The sequence below is a fragment of the Homo sapiens genome, chromosome 3 (genome assembly GCF_000001405.40).
Source record: "Homo sapiens chromosome 3, GRCh38.p14 Primary Assembly".
NCBI lineage: Eukaryota > Metazoa > Chordata > Mammalia > Primates > Hominidae > Homo > Homo sapiens.
The window spans coordinates 187,034,983-187,053,491 of NC_000003.12; the positions used below are offsets into that span (position 1 = coordinate 187,034,983).

General features: G+C 42.0%; 1 protein-coding gene across 4 annotated transcripts in view, besides 9 other annotated features; it reads left to right on the top strand.

Moving 5' to 3' along the window:
- Nucleotides 1-18,509, top strand: part of ST6GAL1 (ST6 beta-galactoside alpha-2,6-sialyltransferase 1) — a 148,028-nt gene that overhangs the window by 104,457 nt on the left and 25,062 nt on the right. For 2 of the 4 annotated variants that reach the window (NM_173216.2, NM_003032.3), the window contains 3 exons: nt 3,760-3,891; nt 7,672-8,328; nt 16,267-16,364. In NM_173216.2, coding sequence (NP_775323.1) covers nt 7,722-8,328; nt 16,267-16,364 — 705 coding nt within the window. In that variant the 5' untranslated portion in view covers nt 3,760-3,891; nt 7,672-7,721. Of the gene's footprint in view, nt 1-3,735; nt 3,892-7,671; nt 8,329-16,266; nt 16,365-18,509 lie in introns of those variants that run through there. The other 2 variants (NM_001353916.2, NM_173217.2) reach the window with 2 other exon arrangements.
- Nucleotides 3,314-3,773: a promoter, noted in NCBI's record as "SmaI/BclI promoter fragment". NCBI's record gives the evidence for it as "EXISTENCE:reporter gene assay evidence [ECO:0000049][PMID:7893756]".
- Nucleotides 3,577-3,757: a promoter, noted in NCBI's record as "156P1 promoter fragment". NCBI's record gives the evidence for it as "EXISTENCE:reporter gene assay evidence [ECO:0000049][PMID:12878221]".
- Nucleotides 3,674-3,681: a transcriptional cis regulatory region, noted in NCBI's record as "Inr(1)". NCBI's record gives its function as "contributes to promoter activity" and the evidence as "EXISTENCE:deletion mutation evidence [ECO:0005510][PMID:22581331]".
- Nucleotides 3,682-3,695: a transcriptional cis regulatory region, noted in NCBI's record as "HNF1 site". NCBI's record gives its function as "important for promoter activity" and the evidence as "EXISTENCE:site-directed mutagenesis evidence [ECO:0005528][PMID:12878221]".
- Nucleotides 3,718-3,725: a transcriptional cis regulatory region, noted in NCBI's record as "Inr(2)". NCBI's record gives its function as "contributes to promoter activity" and the evidence as "EXISTENCE:deletion mutation evidence [ECO:0005510][PMID:22581331]".
- Nucleotides 3,738-3,746: a transcriptional cis regulatory region, noted in NCBI's record as "Inr(3)". NCBI's record gives its function as "contributes to promoter activity" and the evidence as "EXISTENCE:deletion mutation evidence [ECO:0005510][PMID:22581331]".
- Nucleotides 6,852-6,921: an enhancer, noted in NCBI's record as "active region_20960". NCBI's record gives its function as "activates an Ori minimal core promoter by ATAC-STARR-seq in GM12878 lymphoblastoid cells {active_cell/tissue: GM12878}" and the evidence as "EXISTENCE:reporter gene assay evidence [ECO:0000049][PMID:35858748]".
- Nucleotides 9,172-9,441: an enhancer, noted in NCBI's record as "active region_20961". NCBI's record gives its function as "activates an Ori minimal core promoter by ATAC-STARR-seq in GM12878 lymphoblastoid cells {active_cell/tissue: GM12878}" and the evidence as "EXISTENCE:reporter gene assay evidence [ECO:0000049][PMID:35858748]".
- Nucleotides 9,552-9,661: an enhancer, noted in NCBI's record as "active region_20962". NCBI's record gives its function as "activates an Ori minimal core promoter by ATAC-STARR-seq in GM12878 lymphoblastoid cells {active_cell/tissue: GM12878}" and the evidence as "EXISTENCE:reporter gene assay evidence [ECO:0000049][PMID:35858748]".

Genomic DNA, 18,509 nt, shown 5'->3' on the forward strand with positions numbered 1-18,509 from the left:
GATTCTATACCTAGAAAACTATAAAGACACTGCCAAAAGGCTTCTGGAACTAATAAACAACTTCAGCAAAGTTTCAGGATACAAAACCAGTGTATAAAAATTCATGGCATTTCCATAACCAGTAATTTTCAAGCTGAGAGTCAAATCAACAACACAATCTCATTTATAATAGTCGCAACAAAATTTTAAATACCTAGGAATACATCTAATCAAATAAGTGAAATATCTCTCCAAGGAGAACTACAAAACTTTGCTGAAAGAAGTCATGGATGACACAAACTAATGGAAAAACATTTCGTGTTCATGGATTAAAAGAATCAATATCATTAAAACAGCCACACTGCCCAAAGCAATCTGTAGATTCAACACTGTTCCTATCAAACTACCAATGTCATTTTTCACAGAACTAGAAAAAACCTATCCTAAAATTCATGTGTAACCAAAAAAGAGTACAAATAACTAAAGCAATCCTAAGCAAAAAGAACAAACTCAGAGGCATTCCAGTACCTGACTTAGAACTGCACTGTAAGGCTACAGTAACCAAAACAGCATGGTACTGGTACCAAAACAGACACATAGACTAATGGAGCAGAATAGTGAACCCAGAAATAAAGCCACATACCTATAATCATCTGATCTTTAACACAGTCAACAAAAATAAGCAACGGGGGAAAGAACTCCCTATTCAATAAATGATGCTGGAATAACTGGCTAGCCATATGCAGAAGAATGAAACTAGATCCCTTCCTTATACCATATACAAAAATTAACTCAAGATCAATTAAAGATTTAAATGTGAGACCTCAAACTATAAGAATCCTGGAAGAAAACCTAGGAAACACCATTCTGGACATCAACCTTGGGAAAGGATTTATGACAAAGTACTTAAAAGCAACTGCAACAGAAACAAAAATTGACAAGTGGGATCTAATTAAACTAAAGAGCTTTTGTGCAGCAAAAGAAACTATCAACAGAATAAACAGACAACCTACAGAATGGAAGAAAATATTTGCAAGCTATGCATCTGACAAAGATCTAATATCCAGAATCTATAAGAAACTTAAACAATTGAACAAGCAAAAAACAAATAACAACATTAAAATGTGAGCAAAAGATATGAACAGACAATTCTCAAAAGATGCATATAAGCTGCCAACAAACATGAAAAATGCTCAGTATCACTAATTATTAGAGAAAAGCAAACAAAAGCACAGTGAGATACCCCCTCACGTCAGTCAGAATGGCTATTATTAAGTCAAAAAACACCAGATGCTAGGGAGGCTGCAGGGAAAAGGGAACACCTACACACTGTTGTTGAGAATGTTAATTAGTTCAGCCACCATGAAAAGCAATTTGGAGATTTCTCAGAAAACTTGAAAACAGAACTACTATTCAACTCAGCAATCACATTACTGGGTATATATCCAAAAGGAAATAAATGTTTCTACCAAAAAGAGACATGCACTTGTGTGTTTATTGCAGCACTATTCACAATAGCAAAGAATGGAATCAGCCTAGGTGCCCATCAGTGGTGGACTGGATAAAGAAAATATGGTACATATACACTGTGGAATAGTACACAGCCATGAAAAAGAACAAAGCCATGCCCTTTGCAGCAACATGGATGCAGCTGGAAGCCATTATCCTAAGCAAATTAATAATGCAGGAACAGAAAACCAAATGCCATATGTTGTCACTTATAAGTGGGAACTAAACAATGAATGCTGATAGACATAAAGATGGCAATAATAAACACTGGGGACTACAAGACGGGGAAGGCTGGGGAAAGAGCTAAAAAATGAATTATTCAGTACCTGCATGGCAGGATCAATCATACCCCAAGCCTCAGCATTGTGCAATATACCAGGTAACAAGCCTGCATACATACCCCCTGAATCTAACATATAAATTAAAATTATTTTTTAAAAAAACCCTTTTCTTCTTTGTGTGCGTATTGCTTTATAGAACTCATATTCTTTATCTCATTAATCCTCTTTCATTTGTCATCAGAACTATGTAATGTAGAGAATCATTTTACATGTGGGGAAACTGGAGTATGTAATCTTTTGAATTATTTATGAATTATTTATTTATTCACTCTTATTTCCTAGAAGTACAGTAGCCTGGTCCATGGTCAGAAGCTCTTAATTCTATGGCCTGAATACATTCTAGAAAGGTTACATTAATTTATATGATCCTTTGAATATATATCGATTTAATTATAATCTGTCCAGCAATGAGTATTATCATGTAGAAAACTGCGGACGAATGTAAATTCTATAAACTAGTTTCTCAGTATTCTAGTTGCCCCTCTTGGGTTTCTCTCATGATTAACCATAACTTTATATGCTTGTTAATTGTGCTTTTTATTTTGTGATTAGTCTGTTCATGTTGATTACCTCTTTATTTTGGGAGACTTTTATTATATTAACCCTTTTTATATTTTGACTTTTCCTTTTTATTGTAGTTACAGTATTTTTCATTGTATAGATGTTGAAATTTTCTTGCAACTGAATGTATTAAACTTTTCCTTTGCTATTTTCCTACATCGCATCAAAAGAAGAAAGAGCTGACAGGTATATATTTATATTTTTAGCTGTTTTTTGTTGGTTTGTTTAGAGACAGGTTCACTCTGTCACCTAGGCTGGAGTGCAGTGGCGCTCATAGCTCACTGCAGCCTCTAACTCCTGGGCTCAAATGATCCTCCCTCCTCAACCTCCTGAGTAACTGGGACTACAGGCATGCACGCCTGGCTTATTTTTAGCTTTTTAAAATTACATTTTTATACTTTTGTACATTTTTTCAAAGTCAAAGAATAATGGATGTACATTTTAGAAATTTTGGAATATATGTAAAATTATAAAAGATGAAAACATCTATTATTACCATTCTGGGTGTACTTTTTTCTAGTACTTTTTCCTAGTACTTTTTCACGTTTTTTTAAATGTATTTTTTTTCTGAATTTGGATAGTGTTTACCGTTTTATAACGTATTTTTTCAGTTACAATTATACTGATTGAACTTTCACATATTATTAAATATTCTTTGAAAATAAATAATTTTTTGAAAATCTGTATGAAGTTTATTTCAGGATGGACCTAATTACTCCCTGTTTACCTCCAAGCCAGCAATTAAACAACCTGTTCTTCCCAGGTTGGTCCATGGTGGCCGCTTTAGCTTTCTAGCCCATTCTTATCTGGTGTCAAGTCTATTTCTTTTTTTTTTTTTTTTTTTTTCTTTTGAGACAGAGTCTCTCTCTGTTGCCCAGGCTGGAGTGCAGTGGCGTGATCTCGGCTCACTGCAACCTCCGCCTCCCGGGTTCAAGCAATTCTCCTGCCTCAGCCTCCCTTGTAGCTGGGACTACCGGTGTGCGCCATCATGCCTGGCTAATTTTTTTTTTGTATTTTAGTAGAGATGGAGTTTCACCGTGTTAGCCAAGATGGTCTTGATCTCCTGTCCTCATGATCCTGATCCGCCTGCCTCGGCCTCCCAAAGTGCTGGGATTACAGGTGTGAGCCACCACACCCGGCTAGTGTCAAGTCTATTTCTAGGCTATCTGTGCTGTTCACAGATCCAGAGCATTGCACCTTTAATAGGCTTTTCTCTCTCTCTTTTTCCTGAGCCCTGGAGGCTTCCTGGATTGAGACCTAGCCTAGGTCTGCATAAGCACCTTTCCATCTTGTTAATGTTTAACACTGCCTCTGCTGGAAAACAGCTCTCACCTCCTCTCTTTCTGTCTCTTATTTTTTGCCTTTGCAGATGAGTTTTGATCATCCTGAGAAAAATGGGCCTTGGCCTGCAGACCCAATAAACCTTCCCTCCCATGGATAATAGTGCTAATTCCTGAGGACCTGAAGGGCCTGCCGCCCCTGGGGGATTAGCCAGAAGCAGGTAAGGAACACACAGAGGCATGGGCTAGCAAAGGGGTACATTCCTGAGTAAAAGCTGGTGTGGCAGATGTCCTGGCAGGGAATCTCAGGATCTCAGTATCTGGCTCCAGCTTTGCTGTTTTCTTTTTGTATGTATTTTTTAGTCCTCTTTAACTGCTGATTCAATGTGGGTTTCATTGGGGGGTGTAGAGAAATGGCTTGTCCATTTCTATTAACTATATAAGATTTAAGTTATTCTGTATTTCAGTCAACCATTCTGAGTACCTACTACCTGCCACGAATGCAACTGGTACTGAGTATGTCATGACGGGTGGGTCGGGACAGGATTTCCTTGCTTTGAGCATTGATTTCTGCCGGTTCAGTGTTGGCCAGTTCTTTGAAGGTGATGATGCAAGTCGCTGTGTTCTTCCTCTAGAAGCCTCGTGATGATTGTAAAGATTCTCTGATACAATTGCATCAGTTCAATAATCTTTCATTGAGTATCCGCTCTGGTCCAGGCACTGTGCTGGGTACTAGGGTTTCAGAAAGGATACCAGGAGGAGTTTTCCTTGAGCAGCAAAGTCAGGCATGAAAAGCAAGCATTACAAAGCACTGGCTGGCAGCAAAGGGGAGCAGGGATAGTGCGGAAGGGGAGGTGGCCTCCACTGACCTTCAGAAGCAGAAAGGTGATGCTGTCAGAGCTGGCAGGCACATGGACAAGGAGAAAGAGTGCAGCAGTGCAGACACCTGGAGGCTTAACACAGTCTGGTGTAATTGGAAAATTCAAAGCTTAGTGTGTTTTTCCAAAACATTTGTAGAGAAAAGTTTGCTACTCTTTTCCCTCGGTTGCGCCATTTAGAGAAAGTTTCTTCAGCCTCTGCCTTCTTCAGACAATTTGAGAGATGAGAAAGGGTCTTGCAGTTATAAGTGCCTGTGACCAGAAACTCCAGCCACCTGGTGGACTTGGAGCCTCAACCAAGGGTGGTGTCAAGGGACCACATGAGCCCTTATGTGAGATTTCAGATGAGTGCCCTGAGGCCATGACAGAGCACAGGCTGTGAAGGCTGAGGCTGTCTGATGGTTGCAAGACTGTCGCTAGACCCAGCTGTTTGGAGGAACTCTTCTTTCCTGGGAAACCACACCTTGGAGAGTAGGTACTGGGCAGCTGCTGCCTGAGCCTCCACTCCTGTGACAGTGAATCAGGCCCTTCCTGCCATCTTGTTTCATTCAGACATGTGAAAGTCAGGTTCTAAGTCCACTATTTCCAAATCACTCATGCAACTTTGAAAATTATTTGTATTTCCAAACCTCACTATACTCAGCTATAAATGGAGCTCATAAAATCTGCTGTGCTTATCTCACGGGAGTATAATAGGTCTGTAAAACCTTACCAATACGGAAAGTACCTGAGTGTTACCACTCAGTGCACAGCAGGGATGGCAGGTGCAGCACTGATGGTGAAGGTGGCTTGTCTGCGACTGTCTGACAGACGAAGTTGCCTCTCTAGTGACCTTGAGTCCGACTTGATCACACTGACTTCTCACTGTCCCTTATCACAGATGCATGTCCTTGGGTGGAAAGATGATGAACTTTTAGAGTCAGACAGACCTGGGCTGGAATTCTGGTTCTAGAACTGACTTGCTGTTGACATTGGAGAAACCCTATAACCTTGCTAAGTCTCAGTTTTTTCCATTTCCTAAAATAGGATTGTCAATATCTCTATCATAGTGTTGTAGTAAAGGTTCAATGAGATATTGCAAGGAAAGTGACTACCACGTAGTAGGCCCTCCTTAAATGCTACTTTCCTTCTTTTCTCTAGTTCTTCTTCAGTTGTCATATGGTCATGTGATTACCTGTGTTGGGTGTCTGCGGAAATTGAATTCCTTAGTTTCTGGTAATACAACAAGCTTCCACCCTTCACTTCATGATCTTCTATCTGAATTCTTCTTCCACTGTGTACATTTAATCATTTCCACAACTTCAGCAGCCCAAGATAGGAGCCCATCGTTCCCAGAGTCACTGGTTCCTGAGGTCTGGGATGGTGGAAGCACTGCTTTGGTTGGTACTGCCAATGGATTCCAGGAATGAGCTGGATGTCAGTTCATGGAGAATTCCCAGGGAAGAGCCTGGAGCTCAGGGCTGCTGAGTCATGGCTGTGGCTTCACACTGCTGTCTTCACTACCCGTATCACCTCCACATGGCCCCCAGGCTGAGCTGCTGCTCTCCTGTCTCTGTTCAGAATACCTTCTGTGCCTTTTTGCTTATCTAGTTCAAATCCAATGAATACCATGCTCTTGTTTTGCCCTCCCAACACTCTGCAAATCACATAGGGCAGAGATAATTATTCTGAAAAACTCAGGGGCAGAAATATTAAGTGACCTGCCCAAGGTCACCAAGAATGGGGATAAGAACCCAGGTTTTGTGAACACCCAGTCCAGTACTCCTACTACCTTTTCCTGATATCCTTAGGAGCGGGATCCATGGGAAGGGACCTCAGACCCCTAGTGGGTTAGCAAAACCCCGGAGGTGATTGCTTTGATTTATTATTGTAAATAAACCCAGTGATTGGGGAAAGAATGTAATGTTTTCCAAAAGATACAGACATTATTTGAGTTCAAAGTGCTTCCAGTTTCCATTCAGTTACACAATAAATTCTGAGAAAACAAAGTAGGTGTTTACTCAGAAATAAAGAGACTATTCAGTCTCTATTTGCTCAGTGAAATCTATTTTCCAGAGCTTCTTGCAGTTCTGTGCATGTTGTACTGGAAAGGACATGGGTTATGGAATCAAATCCACTTCGATTTGAACCTCAGTGCAACCATTTCCTCAGCTCTGTGAGCTTGGGCACTTCCCTTGACTTCTTAGAGCCTCAGGTTGCTAATCCATAAAATGGAGATTATAACACCTTTGAAGTGAACCCTGTACAGGTTAGGAGATGCCCTTCGTATTAGACTATGCTATGCGTGGTGCCCCCAGAGTTGTGTCTCATGGTGGCCCTGGTTATGGTGAAGTTAAGTGAAATAACATCTAGCGTGCTTAATGAATTTTTGTTTCCATTTCCTTAGTTGGCTACATGTCTGCTATCTTACCCAGAATTCCTAGCCTCTATCATGAGGTGAGTCAGCTTCCTGTCTCAGCAGTGCTCTTCTTGCAGGGCACTGCACAAAACTGTGGTGGAGATAACCCTCGATCTTCTCATGCAGGAGTCCAGCATCGCAGCCCTTAGAGAGATACATCAGAAATCTATGGCATCATCTATAACGAGAAGTCTTTTTCTGGCCATTTTGAAGGGGTGTTGGGCCACTTACTATTTTAGGAAGTTTAGGTCTGGTGATGTAAAACAGTCAGCCTGCTTTTTTTTATTCTATTTTTTTTTCAAGCATGCATGGCTTCATTTAACAAATGTTACAAGGCCCTAGGAACTGAGTGATTTGCAAGATGTGGTTTCTGACTTCAAGAAACTCAGAGTGCAGTCAGAGAGGTAGACCAAGGCAACCAGAAACTAATATTCAGCATAGAAAAAGTAATGATGGGAGGACATATAAAGTGTTCATGGCTCAAGAGGAAGAAGGGAGTGGAAGAGTGGAAGAGGAAGAGGGACTGCTGTCCACGTTCAAAGCCCAAATTGAGTCTGACTTTTGTCGAGAATTGCTTAACAGGCTGCAGAGGTGGCCAGGAGGTAGACCAGGGCTGGAATTCAAGTCACCTCATTTCAAATCTATTGCTCAGTCCATCGCTCCGCCTCATGCCACATTGGGTTTTTCTTTACATCATTTGTTTTTCCTTGTCTCACTTTTTTTAGGCTTGTTTTCCTGCTCAGAACAAAGTGACTTCCCTGAACACATCTTCATTATGATTCACACCAACCTGAAGAAAAAGTTCAGCTGCTGCGTCCTGGTCTTTCTTCTGTTTGCAGTCATCTGTGTGTGGAAGGAAAAGAAGAAAGGGAGTTACTATGATTCCTTTAAATTGCAAACCAAGGAATTCCAGGTGTTAAAGAGTCTGGGGAAATTGGCCATGGGGTCTGATTCCCAGTCTGTATCCTCAAGCAGCACCCAGGACCCCCACAGGGGCCGCCAGACCCTCGGCAGTCTCAGAGGCCTAGCCAAGGCCAAACCAGAGGCCTCCTTCCAGGTGTGGAACAAGGACAGCTCTTCCAAAAACCTTATCCCTAGGCTGCAAAAGATCTGGAAGAATTACCTAAGCATGAACAAGTACAAAGTGTCCTACAAGGGGCCAGGACCAGGCATCAAGTTCAGTGCAGAGGCCCTGCGCTGCCACCTCCGGGACCATGTGAATGTATCCATGGTAGAGGTCACAGATTTTCCCTTCAATACCTCTGAATGGGAGGGTTATCTGCCCAAGGAGAGCATTAGGACCAAGGCTGGGCCTTGGGGCAGGTGTGCTGTTGTGTCGTCAGCGGGATCTCTGAAGTCCTCCCAACTAGGCAGAGAAATCGGTATGTTCTGGGGTTGTTCTGTGAATGGCAGTGCTTATTGGGACTGGCTGGGCATATTGATGGTATGGGAGACAAGTGGCCCAAGTGTGGCTCAGCGGACCAGTGGAGTGGGCCCAGGGCAGTGTTTTTTTCAGAGTCACAAGTGACACAGAGGGAGTTGAACAGATGGCGCTCTAGGCCCCCGCATCTTTTATCAATTAGAAGAGCTTCATTATTGTTTCCTAATATTTTTAGTTGATATATAATAATTAGATATATTTATGGGGATATTTTGATACGTGTATTCAATGTGTAATGATCCAATCAGGGTAATTAGAATATCTATCACCTTGAACATTTATTGTTTCTTTGTGTTGGGAACAGAATAGTTTTATTTTCATCTGTTTTAAATATTGGAATTGTGTAGAAGATTTCATTTGAAAAAGAGAGTTCCGCTGCTACCAATAATCAAAAGCCTACAATTGACCTTTGAAAAGACTTGAAGCATAGATCTGCACATCATTTCCAGGTTCTGAAATTCTGTTGTTTTTCCTGATTAGTGGAGGACTCTATTGGCCTCAACAACCTGGGTAATTTTCAGCTTTTCTCTTTGAAAAGATTTAATTGGGTCAGTAATTCTTAACTGGGGGCTATGGACCAACTTCAGAGGGTCATGAATCCCTGCAATTGCGTGCAAAACTGTCTGTGGATTAGGTGTGTAGAATGTATGTGTATGCGTATAAGTGTGTCCGTGCATTTTTCCAGGAAGGGAGTTTGTAGACTGCAGTTTATTCTCTAAGGGATCTGTGACCCAAAAAAGTTTCAGAGTCACTGGTCACAACATATTAATTTGCTTTTCTTGAAACCCTTTGTAGTGAATCAAGATAGAAAGTCTGTCTATATTTGTAAACCTGTGTAACAGAGAGCCTTATTTCTCTTATGCTGAATGTGTTTTCCATTATTTGAAATGAATCAGCTAAAGAAAGCAAAGCACAGGAAGCTTTGCTCCTCTGTCAGCCTGGAGGTACTGGAGCAGGTGAGGTCATACGTCTCCTTTTTTATTTCCTTCATTTGACTGCCAGGAAAAATGGTCTGAAACCCAGCACAGGCTCTCAAAGAAAAGTAGGCCCAAACTGGATTCTCTAGAGCAGAAAGAAATGGTGAGATCACAGTTTCTACCTCCCCAAATAGGCAGCTGCCCCGCTGGCCGGCCCCACCTCAACTTCTGCTTTTGTATTTTTGGTTTTTCTTGGACTTTGTTTTCAAGAAACTAAATGTGATTGGTTTTTGTTCATCCATAATGGAGCTAAGTTTCTTTCTTCTCCATTTTTGCTGCTTATGTAGCAAATGTTTGGGATATCCTAGGTATTAGCTGATCCTTCTTCTTCATGTCAAGTTAATATTGCGTGCCTGGCTGAAATTGTACTGAAGTTTGAGACAGGGCCTGATAGCTCTGTTAATTAGAACTACAGCTTTAATTTTATGCACTCCTTAAAGATTTGGGGTGATTTAAGTAAACATTAATACAAATAATATTTTTCTATAGATTGCAGTTTCAACTTCAAAATAAGGATTTCCACAGAAGGACTTTGATCCTGAGATGTAATCAAAATTGCATGTTAGACTTCGAATGTTCTGCTGTTATGGGGTATATATCCTCTTGGCATTTTGTCTAACAAATATTTTAAGACATTCATATATTCTTTTATTTATTCATGGATTCATCAACAATACAAAGGGGAAAGGGAAGGGAAAGGCCCTTTGTTGAAGCCCGAGTTGCAGGCAGCGTGCCAGGCCCATACACTTCCTCCTGCATCTGGAATTTGTTGAGTCTCTTCCCAACTACTGGATGGATCAGATTATTTCAAATGGTTTTCTTTTACAAATAACATTGCTGACAAGGTTTTTGTGCAGATAACTTAGGTAACCACTATTGACATTCAACAGGGAAATATCCTCAGAAGTGAGGCTAGAAGACACGAGTAAGAGACATTTTATGACTTTTTTTTTTTTGTCCATAGCAAGATTTTCTATCAGAGAGAGTGTAATAACATACTCTGCCTCCAGCAGTCTCACAAACCAGCCAATGGTGGGCTCAGTCATTTTCAATTATTTTTGATAGTTTACTCATACATGTTAAGTATCCTAGATTTGCTGGAATTTTCATGTCAAACAGTAGCATAATTTTAAAACACTATCATCAATACAAGTGATGCTTATTATGCATCTGCTGAGTTCCTAACATGCCTTGCTCTTTTCATCCTCCCAGAAGTCCTGTGAGGTTGATAAGATTATTGGTCTCATTTTGCTGGAGAGCTAAATGCGGAGGCTCAAGTGGTCACACAACTGGCTAATAGCAGACTGAGGTTTGAAAGCAGAGTGCTTGCTTCAAAGACCCCACTCTTGGCACCTCTGCTGTTGTGCCTCATAATAATTGTAGCTTCATAATAAAATTCGGTGTGATTATTCTTTTATTATGTTAAAAATTTTCTTCTATTCTTGTCTATTAGCTGTCCTAGAGAGAAAGAGAAGGGTATTCTGAGTTAAGGCAAAGGCAAGAAGCAAAGGCTGCACGGGGAAAAGTGTGTTTGGGCATCACAAATAATCCTGTTTGGACGGCATGTGGGTCCTTGTGGGTGAAGATGGGTGAGGAACGAGGCCAGAAAGGTAGCTAGGCATTAGCTCTTAGAGAACGTTGATAGTCACAATAAGGACTTTAGGTTTCATTCTTTAAGCCATGGAGAGCCCTAGGAGGTTTTTGAACAAGGGAGACTTCTCACTTCTCTATGAGTCCCTGTTTTGTACTCTATAATGTCTCCATTATTAGGGACTATTGCCACAACCAGGTCAGAAGTGCCAGGCCTGCCCAGGCTGTGGTAGCAGTGATGAAGAGAAAGGACCTTACCTGAGAGGGCTCATGAAGTAAGAGGCAGAACTTACTATCTAGCTGGAAATGATCTTGAGTGAGAGGCAGGAGCCAGGATGTCTAGCCTGGGAGCAGGCTGTATCTTACCAAGGGGAGCATGCTTCCAGAGGAACGCAGATTCCACTTTGGATGTTCTGAGACTGAAGTGTGTGTGGATTTCCCTGGGTAGATATCTATGCTGTTGAGTACTTAATTCTAGAGAAGGATCAGATATCGAGATAGATTTACAAGTCATTTGTATCAAGGTGAGATAATGGTTATAATCCAGGGAAGAAGACCAATTAGAAAATCTAGAAAAAGATTTACATTTAAAGGACAAAGAAAAGAACAGGGAAAAGTCAGAAGGGTCAGAGACCGGCTAGAGGAGAACTAGGTGTGCACCATACAATGGAAGGCAAAGGGGGATGGAGTTTGAGGGATGTTGGCTGTTGGTATCAAAGTCTGCAGAGGTGGGACATATTCTTGGGCAGAATAAGGACTGAGAAGACACCTGTGAACTGAGTAGCTTGGAGAACATGATCAGTTATATCAGGGGTCAGCAAGCTTTTCTTAAAAGGCCGGATAGTAAATAGTTTTGGCTTTGAGGGCCATGATGTCTGTCACAACTACTCAACTCTGCTGTTGTACTGCAGAAGTAACAATAGATAGTAGTAAATGAACAGGCCTGGCTATGTTCCAACAAAACTTTATTTACAAAATGAGGGATGCACCAGATTTGTCCTTCAAGTCATAGTGTTTTGTTTTGTTTTTGACGGAGTCTTGCTCTGTTGCCCAGGCTGGAGTGCAGTGGCATGATCTCGGCTCACTGCAAGCTCCGCCTCCCAGGTTCATGCCATTCTCCTGCCTCAGCCTCCCGAGTAGCTGGGACTACAGGTGCCTGCCACCACGCCTGGCTAATTTTTTGTATTTTTAGTAGAGACAGGGTTTCACCGTGTTAGCCAGGATGGTCTCGATCTCCTGATCTCATGATCCGCCCACCTCGGCCTCCCAAAGTGCTGGGATTACAGGTGTGAGCCACCGCGCCCGGCCAAGTCATAGTTTTTTTTTTTTTTAACTCTGATCTATAGTATGTCTGTTTTCTTCAACCGGACTCAGAATGTAATTTTCCATAAATGGTTGTAGGATGTATTAGGCTAACTTGAAAATATAAAAGCGTTTGGTGATAAATTGTGATAAAATTTCTTTCATAATAATTTCTAGCTATTTAGAGTTAACTACACCTAGAGGCAGTGGATTTTGATGTATTTATGAATTTACTAACTTGAGCTGATTCTGTTGAATTTTCTAAGCGTGTGATTGTATAATCTGAATACAGTGATGCATTTATTTTTTCTTCTCCTAATTTGCCTCTTTTTCTGAGCTCTAATTCTAAGTTACAGAGAGGTGGTAGTTTCTTTTTTCTGCAGCCTTTCCCCCTCGCTAGGCTTGTTTGCTGGGATCTCAGTAGTTGTGGATTTCTCTTGGTGATTTCTTAGAGGCCTATTTGAGTTTGAAAGTTCAACTTTCAATTAGCAGGGAGGTTTGACAAACAGGATTTTTTTCTCTTTAAGTACCCAAGTCAGTTTAAAGTTTTCTTTTTAAAAATTTGATATATAATAATTGTACATATTTATGGGGTACATGTGATATTTTGGTACATGCATACAATGCGCAATGATCAGATTGGGTAATTAGAATATCCATCTCCTCAAAAAAGTTTTCTCCTTTGATTGGCTTTTTTCTTTTCCTTTCTTTTTTTTTTTTTTGAGACAGAGTCTTGCTCTGTTGCCCAGGCTGGAGTGCAGTGGCGTGATCTTGGCTCACTGCAAGCTCCACCTCCTGGGTTCACACCATTCTCCTACCTCAGCCTCCCGAGTAGCTGGGATTACAGGCGCCTGCCACCATACTCGGCTAATTTTTTTGTATTTTTAGTAGAGACGAGGTTTCACTGTGTTAGCCAGGATGGTCTCGATCTCCTGACCTCGTGATCTGCCCACCTTGGCCTCCCAAAGTGCTGGGATTACAGGTGTGAGCCACCGTGCCCAGCCTGATTGGCTTTTTTCTTAGAATCACGTCCAAACTTCATACCTGGGCCCCCATGTCCGTGTATGATCTGGTTCCTGCCAACCTCTGTAACTGTATCTTTGATTTTTCTTCCCCTCACTCCTTGTCTACAGTCAAGTCCCTGCCCTCATTGTGGTCCTGACACTTGCTGCATCCTCTGACTGGTGGACTTCTCTGAACCCTTCCCAAGGCTGGCCATCCTTTGGGTCTCAGCTCCAAGGCATTCCCTGAATCATCACTCTATGAAGGAAATTCCCTCAGTGTCTCTGGCACACAGCTCAGCTTGTTAGTGTCACAGTGTTTGTCACAATCCGAAATTATCTTATATGTAGGTTGTTGTCCGTCTTTACTGTCTATGTCCGTGCAGTAGAATGTAATATCTCTGAGGGCATGGACCTTGTCTTTGTTGCTCACAGGCGTCGTCTCCCGTGTCTAAAACTGTGCCTGGCATAGAGTAGGTGCTCAATCAGTATTTGTTGACTGAACAAAACAATTCTCCTTTCTTATGGTCAACATCAAGCATCTGTTCTAACCTAAGCCTTCTGTGCTGGATGTTCTCCAGTGGCACCTCCAAATCCCACTCTCACCCTTTTCCATCTGGCTCTGTCCCTGAGAAATTGAATTTTTTTTTTTTTTTTTTTTTTTTTTTTGAGAATGAGTCTTGTTCTGTTGCCCAGGCTGGAGTGCAGTGGCACAATCTCGGCTCACGCTAACCCCCGCCTCCTGGGTTCAAGCGATTCTCCTGCCTCAGCCTCCAGAGTAGCTAGGATTACAGGTGCGTGCCACCACGCCCAGCTAATTTTTGTATATTTAGTAGAGATGGGGTTTCACCATGTTGGTCAGGCTGATGTCGAACTCCTGACTTCAGGTGATCCACCCGCCTCGGCCTCCCAAAGTACTGGGATTACAGGCGTGAGCTACTGCGCCCAGCTGAGAAATTAAAATTTTGAACTGCGTTAATTGGCATTTCTCACTCTCTGGATTTTCTCTGGGACTGGCCAGGAGAAGCAGTGGCATTAAAGCTGAGAAGAAGACTAAGGTCAGGGCACCTATTCCGCCATGTTTCGCCTTGCAGAGTAAACTCAAGCTGTATCTTTCTCTTGACTGAAGGTCTCAGATCCTGCCAGGAGGCCGTCCCAGTCTTGGTCCTGCTCTGTCCCTTTTCCCTTCAGTTCTATGAGATCCAAGGGAAGGGGCAGAACCAGGTTGGGATATTGACTCCCTCAGGCTCCTTCTTGCCCGGAGGTTGGCAATAGCTGTGTTCCTCTCCTAAAGGCAACAGCTCCCGACAGGTGTCCCTCCTCAGCTCAGGGTCTCCGCTCATCAGGCCACAGTAGACCTGGGGTGGTAATGACACCCTGCAGTCATCAACCCTGGGGCTTTAGCCTATTCCGTGTTGATTTCTTTAAACTCTACCCCAACTTGGTAAGTAGTCCTTTTATGAATCTCTCAATTACTCCATTGGAGCTTCTCATCTCTTTTCTACTGGGATTCTCACCAATAATTTATTCATCTGTGAAATGGAAAAGTTGACTAACTGAAGTTTCTGATGGATCTGTGTTTCTCATGCAATTACTACTAATCCCTTTCGAACCAGTGACTGATTCTGACAAAATGTGTTGTAATTCTGAGTTGTGTAAAGATATACCTCCTGCCCTATGTGCACTTCAGTGTACCTGCCCTGTAAGATGATAACAGTTTGGACTGTGCCCTTCTCAGATAATTTTCAAACCATTTTGATGAAATTTTGCCCTAGGATTGAGGATAGGGTTGTGTTGTTTTCATGAATGATGTTTCTGTGTTCCTGAGGTTTAGTACATACATTGGAACTGAAATAAAGAGAGAGGCTTTCATCCTTAATTCTGTGGATATCCTCTTTCTAAATCATCTTGTGTTCAGTCAAATGCCCTCACTTCCCCAAATCCTGTGTGGATAAAGAATGATCCAAAACAAACCTGAATAGGACAATAGAGGATTCAGCTGACCCCCAGATCCCGTGTAGATTTCAGTGGTGAGCCCCAAACTTGCTTGACCGAGTAAGATTGAAAGAAGTTCTCATAGGATCACAGGATTTGGATGGCTCCTTAAAGTCTTCAGTTCCCTCCTTCATCAGATAGGTCAACGTGGGGTAGAGAAACTTTTCCAAGTCTTCCAAACACTGCTTAAACAGTTGCAAAGACAAGGAGCTAGCCCAGGAAGCTTTTAGGTTTTTCAAGATGGCCTGTTTGATTTTGACTGGATTTAGTACATTGTTTCTGACAATGGCTTACAAAGAAAGAGAGAGAGAGAGAGAGAGAGAGAGGGAGGGAGGGAAGGAAGGAGGGAGGGAAGGAAGGAAGGAAAAGAAGGAAGGAAGGAAGGAAAAGAGAGAGAGGAAGGAAGTTAGTTTAGCTCTCTGACCTCCTCTTCCATTTCTGCCACACCAGTTCTGTGACTCTTCCCTGGGCCTCAGGTTCCTAAATGGAACGCCTGGGGGTTGTCTTGGATGCCATAGTTAAATCCTGTCCATTTGCTGAGCACTGCATGCTTTTCAAAGTGCAATGGGGTCCTTTGCACTTGTGGGATACACTGAACATATGGTAGTGTTTTCATTTTTCTGACAGAGATAGAAATATAATCTACTGGTGATACCAAGAGAATATCTGGTTTGCTGCTTTGATAACTGGAGTAGCTACTCCACTGTAAGTAGCACACTGGCTTTGTTCACTTTTCTGTGTGCCCAGGCACAAGCGAATGTCTTTGAATGGGTTTCAGGAATGCCACAGTATGGCCCCCTTCAGCCCTTACAGTGGCTGGCAGACAGGTGGTCATCTCTGCCTAGGAGCTTTACCTGAGCACCACACAAATACTGCCATTTCGCCCTGTGGATCATGATGGGGTAAAGATGGGGAAGCATTATTCCCTTGCCCCCTCCCCCGCCTCTCGTCTTTCTCTTTTTCTGCATATTGCCAGTGCTCATCACCTCTTTTCTGTTTCTTTGTGGTTTATAGATGATCATGACGCAGTCCTGAGGTTTAATGGGGCACCCACAGCCAACTTCCAACAAGATGTGGGCACAAAAACTACCATTCGCCTGATGAACTCTCAGGTAAAATTTCTTCTGTGCAGCTATGGAGTAAGAGAAGGACCACAGTGTGGGCTCTAATGTGGAATGTATCTACTGGGAGCATATCTAGGCTGCCAATTAAGTCTCTTGATCTTCCTGAGTTCCTGATTCCTCACTGGAGAAGAAGACAATGATTCCATGACCCAACCTGATGATGTGTTTATTTAAAGAAAAACCCTTTAGTATTAGTGTCTGCTAATGGAGGTGTCTGGTACCCAGGAAAGTAGAGTTGAGCTGTCCTTGCTGCTGCAAGGTCATACCTGGAGGTTTACATGAGGGACAGCAGAGCGCAGAACATCCAGGGGAGAGTGGGGAGTGTTGTGAAAAGTGAATGAAACAATACACAGGAGAGCACTTTATGAACCGTAAAATGCTATACAACTACTATAAGACAGTGTCACCATGTAATTATGTGTAATATGGCACTAGAATTCATGTACTATTTCATAAATTCCCCTGGATAATTAGGTTCCCGGAGTATTTTCAGGTAGCACATGCCGATTTCTCAATACTAAGGGAGACTTGAGAAATATTCTTGCCACAGGGTTCTGTTAGTATATTTTATTAGTGGGAAAAACTGTATTACACATATATATGAAAATATCAAAAATTGCACAATAGGGCTGCAACCTGCCCATCTCACAACCACCAACATTTGCCTTTTTCTGAATAAACATATGTGCTCTGGGGGTTTTTATGTCAGTATTTAGTCTGCATACTTCCCTAGGAGTCCTGGGCATGGGGTGGATCCTGGAACAGATCAGAAATGCCTTTTCAGCAGTGTCTGTGGAATGTGTGTTTCTTTCCTTCTCTACTAGGGCTCCACTTCCCTATATCTGTCTCTTCACTTCCTTACTTTCAGGAACTCACCAGCTAGGCAGAAGCTGCTTCCTGCATAGCCCACTTTCTATTTGAAGCCCACAACCTTAAGAAACTTTTTTTTAAAATTATACTTTAAGTTCTAGGGTACATGTGCACAATGTGCAGATTTGTTACATAGATATACATGTGCCATGTTGGTTTGCTGCACCCATCAACTCGTCATTTACATTAGGTATTTCTCCTAATGCTATCCCTCCCCTTGCCCCCAACCCCACAACAGGCCCCAGGGTGTGATGTTCCCTGCCCTGTATCCAAGTGTTCTCATTGTTCAACTCCCACCTGTGAGTGAGAACATGCGGTGTTTGGTTTTCTGTCCTTGTGATAGTTTGCTCAGCATGATGGTTTCCAGCTTCATCCATGTCCCCACAAAGGACATGAACTCATCCTTTTTTATGGCTGCATAGTATTCCATGGTGTATACATGCCACATTTTCTTAATCCAGTCTATCATTGATGGACCTTTGGGTTGGTTCCAAGTCTTTGCTATTGTGAATACTGCCACAATAAGCATACGTGTGCATGTGTCTTTATAGCAGCATGATTTATAATCCTTTGGGTATATACCCAGTAATGGGATGGCTGAGTCAAATGGTATTTCTAGTTCTAGATCCTTGAGGAATTGCCATACTGTCTTCCACAATGGTTGAACTAGTTTACACTCCCACCCACAGTGTAAAAGCATTCCTGTTTCTCCACATCCTCTCCAGCATCTGTTGTTTCCTGACTTTTTAATGATCGCCATTCTAACTGGTGTGAGATGGTATCTCATTATGGTTTTGATTTGCATTTCTCTGATGACCAGTGATGATGAGCATTTTTTCATGTGCCTGTTGGCTGCATAAATGTCTTCTTTTGAGAAGTGTTTGTTTATATCTTTTGCCCACTTTTTGATGGGGTTGTTTGTTTTTTTCTTGTAAATTTGTTTACATTCTTTGTGGATTCTGGATATTAGCCCTTTGTCAGATGGATAGGTTACAAAAATTTTCTCCCATTCTTTAGGTTGGCTGTTCACTCTGATGGTCGTTTCTTTTGCTGTGCAGAAGCTCTTTAGTTTAATTAGATCCCATTTGTCTATTTTGGCTTTTGTTGCCATTGCTTTTGGTGTTTTAGTCATGAAGTCCTTGCCCATGCCTATGTCCTGAATGGTATTGTTTAGGTTTTCTTCCAGGGTTTTTATGGTTTTAGGTCTAACATTTAAGTCTTTAATCCACCTTGAATTAATTTTTGTGTAAGGTGTAAGGAAGG